This window comes from Homo sapiens, chromosome 5 (genome assembly GCF_000001405.40).
Source record: "Homo sapiens chromosome 5, GRCh38.p14 Primary Assembly".
Classification (NCBI taxonomy): Eukaryota; Metazoa; Chordata; class Mammalia; order Primates; family Hominidae; genus Homo; species Homo sapiens.
In genome coordinates this window covers 166,927,200-166,937,050 of record NC_000005.10, presented here as the reverse complement: position 1 = coordinate 166,937,050, position 9,851 = coordinate 166,927,200, and positions in this window count along the sequence as shown.

The following is a 9,851-nucleotide window of genomic DNA, read 5'->3' as shown; positions in this document are numbered from 1 at the left end:
ACCATGGTGAAACTCGGGCTCTACTAAAAATACAAAAACCGTAGCCAGGCGTGGTGGCAGCGCTTGTAGTCCCAGCTACTCTGGAGGCTGAGGCAGGAGAATGGCGTGAACCCAGGAGGCGGAGCTTGCAGTGAGCCGAGATCACACCACTGCATTCTACTGGGCAACAGAGCTAAATTCTGTGTTAAAAAAAAAAAAACAAAAAACAAAACTTCAACTTCTCTCCCTTAATGCTGATCACAATTGTAAAATTTTTACAATTAATACTGAGAGGTGACACCGTGCTGGCAGCCCTCGCAGCCCTCGCTCGCTCTCAGTGCCTCCTCTACCTGGGCTCCCACTTTGGCGGGCGGCACATGAGGAGCCCTTCAGCCCACTGCTGCACTGTGGGAGCCCCTTTCTGGGCTGGCCAAGGCCTCAGCCGAGCCGGCTCCCTCTGCTTGCAGGGAGGTGTGGAGAGGCGCGGGCAGAAACCGCAGCTGCACGCAGCGCTTGTGGGGCAGCACGAGTTCGGGGTTGGCGTGGGCTCGGCAGGCCCCGCACTTAGAGCAGCCAGCCAGCCCCACCGCCATGGGCAGTGAGGGGCTTAGCAGCCAGGCCAGCAGCTGCTGCGCTCCACTTCTCGCCGGGCCTTAGCTGCCTCCCCGCGGGGCAGGGCTCAGGACCTGCAGCCCACCATGCCTGAGTCTCCCCCCAACTCCGTGGGCTCCTGTGTGGCCTAAGTCTCCCTGACAAGCACCGCTCCCTGATCCACTGCCCAGTCCCATCGACCGCCCAAGGGCTGAGGAGTGCAGGCGCAGGGTGCGGGACTGGCAGGCAGCTCCACCTGTGGCCCAGTGTGCGATCCACTGTGTGAAGCCAGCTGGGCTCCTGAGTCTGGTGGGGACTTGGAGAATCTTTACGTCTAGCTAAGGGATTGTAAATACACCAATCGGTACTCTGTATCTAGCTCAAGCTTTGTAAACACACCAATCAGCACCCTGTGTCTAGCTCAGGGTTTGTGAATGCACCAATCGACACTCTGTATCTAGCTATTCTGGCGGGGACTTGGAGAACCTTTGTGTCCACACTCTGTATCTAGCTAATCTAGTGGGGATGTGGAGAACTTTTGTGTCTAGCTCAGGGATTGTAAACGCACCAATCAGCACCCTGTCAAAACGGACCAATCAGTTCTCTGTAAAACAGACCAATCGGCTCTCTGTAAAATGGACCAGTCAGCAGGATGTGGGTAGGGCCAGATAAGAGAATAAAAGCAGGCTGCCAGAGCCAGCAGTGGCAACCAGCTCCAGTCCCCTTCCACACTGTGGAAGCTTTGTTCTTTCACTCTTTGCAATAAATCTTGGTACTGCTCACTCTTTGGGTCCACACTGCCTTTATGAGCTGTTAACACTCACCAAGAACGTCTGCAGCTTCACTCCTGAAGCCAGGGAGACCATGAACCCACCGGGAGGAACAAACAACTCCAGATGCGCCGCCTTAAGAGCTGTAACACTCACCGCGAAGGTCTGCAGCTTCAATCCTGAGCCAGCGAGACCACGCACCCCCAAGAAGGAGGAAACTCCGAACACATCCGAACATCAGAAGGAACAAACTCTGAACACGCTGCCTTTAAGAACTGTAACACTCACCGCGAGGGTCCGTGGCTTCATTCTTGAAGTCAGTGAGACCAAGAACTCACCAATTCCGGACACAATACCAATCTGTAATTGGATTTAGAGATTTTGATTGCAAACCAGGAGGCACAGCATCTTGACGGGATAAATAGGCATAAGAATACCTAATTTACAATAGGCCACTGGGATGATTAGGAAAATACTGTTGATTGCTCATCCCACAGCCATTCCTTACTTTTTCCCAACCCTGATTTTGTTCAGTCTCTTTTAAACTGTTCTATTCCTCAGGGAGGCTAGACCTTCCTCAGTTTGGGGCAGAGAGCAAGGGGTGCAGAAAATCTTAAGTTGTCTAATTAAGTCATATCTTATTTCCTTTGCCAAGTGGTCTTTGGTTTGACTTTAGCATGCAATACAGTTCTGTCCAGTAAATTATGAAGGGAAGTCTGCCTGGGGTGGTATGAATCAGAGAGGTTTCTTTATCCTTTAAAGGAAAATAAGACATTGACATGAATTTTTCTTCCCTCTGTACTTGATTTCTGGAATTTCTATAGCCATCTTATACAAATGTGGGGCAAGTCTTGCTGAGAATATCAAAACCTTGACATGATTAAGCAGGTTAGATTATTCCTGCAACCACCTTCCCTCTGGGCTGCTTCTTACATGAGATAATGGCTTCTTCATGTTGCTTAAGCCAGATTGAACTGAGTTTCCTATTACTTGCATCCAGATGCAAGGGATAATAAAGATAACTTAAGGTAAGGTATGTGAATGTTCCCCAGAATATAGTGGGAGTTCATTAAATCTATATTTTAAAATTAACCTGAACTTTGTAAAAGGGTAGGTTAAAATAGCCAATGAAAATATTTTAAAATTCTACCTTTCAAAGTAAAATGAGGTGTGATTTTCATGTATTTAATTAGCCAAAATTAAATAAATTATAATATTCAGTGTTGCCAAGAGGATAGGGAAATTGGACTTTCATGTGTCACTATGAGTAGTAAAAGAACATAAGTTTCTTAGAAGAACTTAACAGATAAATCCTCTGTTAATTAGTAACTTCATACGCACAAATATTTACAATAGACCTTAATTATATAATTGTTTATAATAGTAAAAAATAAATAACTGATTGTTCATAAGATAGGGTTGTTTAAATGCATTAGCTATGCAAAGAATCAGTATACAGCCATCTAAATATTTAGAAGAATCACTTTTTAAATAAACTCTGCTTTTAAAAAGTTTTAAATTTACCAAAAAATAAAAAAAGGGAAGACAGTCTAGAGAGTTCCCAGATATCCACATCCAGTTTTTCATAGTATCAACATCTTACATTGGTAGGGTACATTTGTTACAATTAATAAACCAGTATTGACAAATTATTATTAATTAGTCTATACATTATTCAGTTTTCTTAGTTTTTAAAAGAAAATAATTACTGAGAGGATAGAAATACCTCATGACAAAGCCTCCTAGATACAATACTCCCAGTTATGAGTTGTGCAGATAGATACATATTAAAATTTTTTTCCAGAACAATGCTTATGTTTTGTATAGCTAATTATTTTAAGTCTGTAACCAAAACCAACAGTATAGAAGCTCAATGCATAGAAGTTGAAGATAAGTCAGTTTTGTAACCTCATCTTTGGCTTTTTGTTTGTTGGCATTTTACTTAAAATAAAAATTATACATAAGGGGTAATGAATGGTTGTCCACGTCCATTTCTATCTGGCCTAGAACATTTAATTTTCTATAAGTCTTTTGATTCTAAGTCCCTTGACCCCAGGGAGTTTCACTGAGGAACAGGATGGACCCAGGGCAGGCGGCCATGCCAGCCACCCCGGCAATGCTATGGGACAAAATAAAAATCTGGTGGCCATTGATGTTGCCTCTAGAAAATCTTGGCCAGAAGGGGGAGAATGTAAATGAAAAATAAAATTCTAAGGTCCCCAGCCATCTGAATGGACTCCTCCTCTCAGCCAAGGGCATTCTAGAGTTACTTAAGAATCTAGTTCAGGTCATGATGGAAGAGGGGCTTGAACATGCCTCATTATATCGCGCCAGCATTAACATCAACACAGACCTTAAGTCTGATAAACATCTACAGTCACTGGCACAGCACGGTGGCTCACGCCTGTAATGCCAGCACTTTGGGAAACCGAAGTGGGAGGATCACTTGAGGTCACGAGTTTGAGACCAGCCTGGCCAACATGGTGAAACCCCATTTCTACTAAAAATACAAAATTAGCTGGGTGTGGTGGCATGCACCTGTAATCCCAGATGATACTCGAGAGGCTGAAGCAGGAGAATCACTTGAGCATGGGAGGCAGAGGTTGCGATGAGCTGAGATCACGCTACTGCACTCCAGCCTGTGTGAAAGAGTCTATCTCAAAAAAAAAAAAAAAAAAGAGAGAAAGAAAGAAAAAGAAGAATATACAGTATATTCTCTCTAAAGGCTGCGACTTGGAGACTCAATCTGCATGATAAAACCTAGGTCTCCACAACCCCTTATCATAACCCAGACATTTCTTTCTACTGATATTAACTCAACCAGTTGCCAATCACAAAATGTTTAAATCTACCTATAACCTGGAAGCCCCTGCTTCAAGTTGTCCCATCCTTCCAGATCAAATCGATGTAAATCTTACATATATTGATGGATGTGCTATGTCTCCCTAAAATGTACAAAAGCAAGCTGTACCCGACCACCTTGGGTACATGTCCTCAGGACCTCCTGATGCTCTGTTACAGGTACATCCTTAACCTTGGCCAAATAAACTTTCTAAATTTACTGAGATCTGTCTGAGATAATTTAGGTCCACAAAGTCATAATTCAATTTATATATTATTTTATTTTATTGCTCAAATTGTTTGAGCTTTGGCCATTGGGTGGTCTTTCAGTTGACTCCCATGTACCTTTAACATATCCCCATCACCGTGTTTGTTTGTTTGGGGCTTATCTGTTTGTTGGGCTACTTTAGCACTATACTTACTCTCTGGCAATCTAAGATGCTCCAAGTTCATCTTGCATATTTCCTTCCCCAGTCTTAGAACCAGTCCTTTCTCCAAGGTGCTCTGGTTCCTTTTTACCGAAGAATGGTATTATAAACCAAACCATGTGGGCACTAGCTATTCTCACTGCTACTGAGTGTCATTGCTATGGGGCCTGGCAGAGTAATGAAATATGAGCATGCTAAATACAGTGTATACATATACCTGTAAATATTTCCATATTTAACTGTTTATAACTACATTAATCTAAACAGGAGTTTATACTGATGTCTCCAACCCTAACCCATTGCTACATGGATCATTCTACACCTCTCCCCTTGCTTATCTGTAAACCCCCACTTCAACAGTAAGATTCCTGCCTCCTGCCATCTGCCATCAATTTACTTAACGTTCCATTCCAGGATCCACATACAGTAATTCAGAATTGCTAACTTATACTCCTGTGGGTATCAATTTTATCAACTAGAGTACAGTGCTTACGTGCAATTTGTTGTCACTTCAGTCCTACAGACCTTATTCATTTCACGTTCTTTAATCAGTTTTTTTCTCCTACAACCTTTTCAGCAAGTTTGTTTCATAGACTTGGAATACACTTATATTGTTTAATCCCAATGTATTCTGTCTTGGAATCCTTGGAAATCCTAAGTGATTTTTTTTAAAGTTGCACACATGAAGTTCATTCTTTGTACTGTAAAGTTCTCTGGGTTTTCACTAATGTATAATGTTATGTGTCCATAATTACAGTACCTTACAAAATAGTTACAAAATTACCCTAAAAATGCCCCCGTGCTTCCCCTATTCAACACATTCCCACACCCGGAATTCTTAGCAAACACTGACCTTCATACTGTTGCTCTAGTTTTGCCCATTACAAAATGTCATAAAATTGCCGGAGTCATATAATCTGTAACCTTTTAAGACTGGCTTCTTTCCCTTAGATCAAATAAGAAAATGGAAAATGGCCGAGCACGGTGGCTCATGCCAGTAATCCTAGTACTTTGAGAGGTCGAGACAGGCAAATTGCCTGAGCTCAGGATTTTGAGACCAGCCTGGGCAAGATGGTGAAACCCCGTCTCTACTAAAAATACAGAAAGTCAGCTGGGTGTGTTGGGGGGCACCTGTAATCCCAGCTACTCAGGAGGCTGAGGCATGAGAATTACATGAACCCGTGAAGCAGAGGTTGCAGTGAGCCAAGATCACACCACTGCACATCCAGCCTGGACAACAAAGCAAAACTCTGTCTCAAAAAAAAAAGAAAAAGAAAATGAAAAACAAGACATATTTTACCATTACTGATTTTGTTTTTTCTCCGACACTCTTTACGTAGATCTGAGTTTCTGACCTATAACATACTTCTTCTACCCGAAAAACACTTTTAAAATTTCTTACAGAGAAGATCTCCTAGAGATGGATTCCCTCAATTTTTGTTTGGCTGAGAAAACCTTTACTTCTCTTTCACTTTTGACGATTATTTTGCTGGATACAGAATTTCATGTTGGTGGTTTATTTCTTTCAACACTTTAAATACTTCACCCTTGGCCCTGTGTGTGGCGGCTCACGCCTGTAATCCCAGCACTTTGGGAGGCCGAGGCTGGCAGACCACCTGAGGTCAGGAGTTTGAGACCAGCCTGGCCAACGTGGTGAAACCCCATCTCTACTAAAAATACAAAAATTAGCCCGGTGTGGTGGCAGGCACCTGTAATTCCAGCTACTCGGGAGGCTGGGACAGGAGAATCGCTTGAACCTGTGAGGCAGAGGTTGCAGTGAGCCGAGATCACACCACTGCACTCCAGCCTGGGTGGCAGAGGAAGACTCCATTTCAAATAACTAAATAAATAGGCTGGGCACTGTGGCACATGCCTGTAATCCCAGAACTTTGGGAGGCTGAGGCGGGCGGATGACCTGAGGTCAGGAGTTCAAGACCAGCCTGGCTAACATGGTGAAACCCTGTCTCTACTAAAAATACACACACACACACACACACACACACACACACACACGTAGCCAGGCTTGGTGGTACATGCCTATAATCCCAGCTACGCAGGGGGCTGAGACAGGAGAATTGCTTGAACCCAGGAGGTGGATGTTGCAGTGAGCCGAGATCACACCACTGCACTCCAGCCTGGGTGACAGAGCCACACTCCATCTCAAATAAATAAATAAATAGGCCGGGCACTGTGGCACACGCCTGTAACCCCAGAACTTTGGGAGGCTGAGATGGGCAGATCACCTGAGGTCAGGGGTTCGAGACCGGCCTGGCTAACATGGTGAAATGCTGTCTCTTCAAAAACAAAAATATAGCCGGGCTTGGTGGTGCACACCTATAATCCCAGCTACTCGGGGGCCTGAGACAAGAGAATCACTTGAACACAGGAGGCAGAGGTTGCAATGAACCAAGATCACACCACTGCACTCCAGCCTGGGCAAGAGTGAGATTCCGTCTCAAAAAATAAAGGCCGGGCACAGTGGCTCACGCCTGTAATCCCAACACTTTGGGAGGCCAAGGCCGGCGGATCACGAGGCCAGGAGATCGAGACCATCCTGGCTAACATGGTGAAACCCTGTCTTTACTAAAAATACAAAAAATTAGCTGGACATGGTAGTGGGCGCCTGTAGTCCCGGCTACTTGGGAGGCTGAGGCAGGAGAGTTGCTTGAACCCGGGAGGTGGAGGTTGCAGTGAGCTGAGATCGCACCACTGCGCTCCAGCCTGGGTGACAGAGCAAGACTCCATCTTAAAAAATAAATAAATAAATAAATAAATAAATAAATACTTCACCTTACTCTTTTATTCCTTGGTGGCTCTGATGGAAAGTCCACTGAATTCTTATTCTCCATAGGAAAGGCATTTTTGTACTGCCCCCTGTGCCCAAGGACCTTTCAAGATCTCTCTGTCTTTGGCTTTCTGCAGCTGGAATATGATATGCCTAAATGTAGATTTTAGGTATTTATCTCATCTGATATGTCCTGAAGTTTCTGCAACTGCAGTATGTCTTTCATTAAATTTGGAAAATTACTGACCACTGTTAGTTCAAGTATTTCTTGATCCATTCTCTCTGTCTTCTCTTTGGGTTTTCTCATTTTGCATATATGCATCCTCAGAAGCTGTCCCAGTTTTGTGATTTCTGTTCTATTTTTTCAATATTTTTTCTCTTTCCATTTCAATTTGGAAACTTTCTATTAACCTGCCTTTGAGATTACTGATTATTATTATTATTTTTTTAAGGCAATGTCTTGCCCTGTTGCCCTGGATGGACGGCAGTACCATGATCTCAGCTCACTGCAGCCTCTGCCTCCCTAGTTCAAGCAATCCTCCCACCTCAGCCTCCCAAGTAGCTGAGACCACAGGCATGAGCCACCATGCCCAGCTAATTTTTGTATTTTTTGTACAGACGGGGTTTTGCCATGTTGCCCAGGCTTGTCTTGAACTCCTGAGCTCAAGCAATCCACCTGCCTTGGCCTCCCAAAGTGCTGGGATTACAAGTATGAGCCACTGCACTCAGCCTAGCTTCCTGATTGTTTCATTAGTCATGTTCAGCTACTGATGAGACTTTCAAATGCATCCTTCATTTCTATTACTATGTTTTGTTTTGTTTTTTTTTAATTTCTAACATTTTCTTTGGATCCTTTCTTAGATTTTCCGTCTCTCTTAGCACATTGACCATCTGTTCTTGCATGTTGTCCACTTTTTCCATTAGAGCTCTTAACATAGTGAACATAGTTACTTTATATGCCTTGTTTGATAACTCCAAAATCTGTCATATCTGAGTCTGGTTTGGATGCTTGCTTTGTCTCTTCAGGCTGTGTTTTTTCTCTTGCCTCTTAGCATGTTTCATAATTTCTTGTTAAAAGCTGGGCATGACGTATAGTGTAACAGGAACTGGGGTAAAATAGGCCTCAATAGTAAACTGGGGTAAAATAGCCCTAAAGTAGTGTGGGGTTTTATGTTAAACTGGGTAGGAGTTTATCTTTGCTTAAGGTTTGCCACAGCTATAGGTGCCAGAGCGTCAATCTTCTCTAGAATCATTATTTTAGACTCCCATGCTACCTTTAGATTTCCCTAAAAATTTATCCTCAGGTAAAATCTGTGTCTTCCAGCTTTTTTTCTTCACCTTTAATACACTGTTATTATACCAGAGCCTTGCTGATGTGGTGAAAAAGTATCAGACAGGGGGAGCATTCTATAATTACATGATTAAATCTTAGTCTTTTAGTGGCCATGTATCCCCAGACTGTGACCTTCACAATGTATTTCTTAGAATCCTATCCTCTCACTCCTCCAAGGGCCTTAGTTTGGGGAAGTTCTGTTTCCTCATGTGAGAGAAGTTTCTGGTGAAGTCTTTTCCCCTGAAGGGTAGACCTTCATAATGAAGAATGCACTGGGCATATTTTACAATGGTCACTCCTCCCCTCCCCTGCCAGAGCCATGAGAGACTCTTGTTTCTGCACTAAGAACCTAGTAGAGTCCGTGGAGGTGAGTTTGTGTAGAGAGCTGCTAAGCCTATGGCCTCCAGGAGTTTCACTCTCTGGAGCTCATCTACGTTAAATCTACAACAATTTGTTACAATTACCATTTATGTGTTCCTAGCACTTTATGGCTGCAGTAGGGTCTGCTCCAGTATACAGATCAGGCTATGACTCTCTGGATTCTCTTTTCTCTCTAGATTTTGCACTAGGGTGTTTGCCCTGCAACACCAGTTCTCTGATGAGTCCAAGAAAAGTCAATGGTTTTTAGTTCATTCTGCTTTTGTCTGTTTAAAGGATGGGAGATAACCTCTGAGGTTTTCACATGTTGAAACTGAAACCCAAAGTTTAGTAACATTTTTGTTGTTAAGTAAAACAGAAGTGCATCTTAAAACATGATACAAAATATAATCTACGTATACATGTGTGTGTCTAGTGGAAAACATACCAAAATAGTGAGAAGTGACAGCGTGCTGGCAGACCTTGCAGCCCTCGCTCGCTCTCGGTGCCTCCTCGGCCTCAGCGCCCACTCTGGCCACGCTTGAGGAGCCCTTCAGCCCGCTGCTGCACTGTGGGAGCCCCTTTCTGGGCTAGCCGAGGCCAGAGCCGGCTACCTCAGCTTGCAGGGAGGTATGGAGGGAGAGGCGTGGGTGGGAACAGCGGCTGAGCGCGGCGCTTGCGGGCCAGCGCGAGTTCCGGGTGGGCGTGGGCTCGGCGGGCGCGCACTCGGATTGGCCGGCCGGCACCGCCAGCCCCAGGCAGTGAGG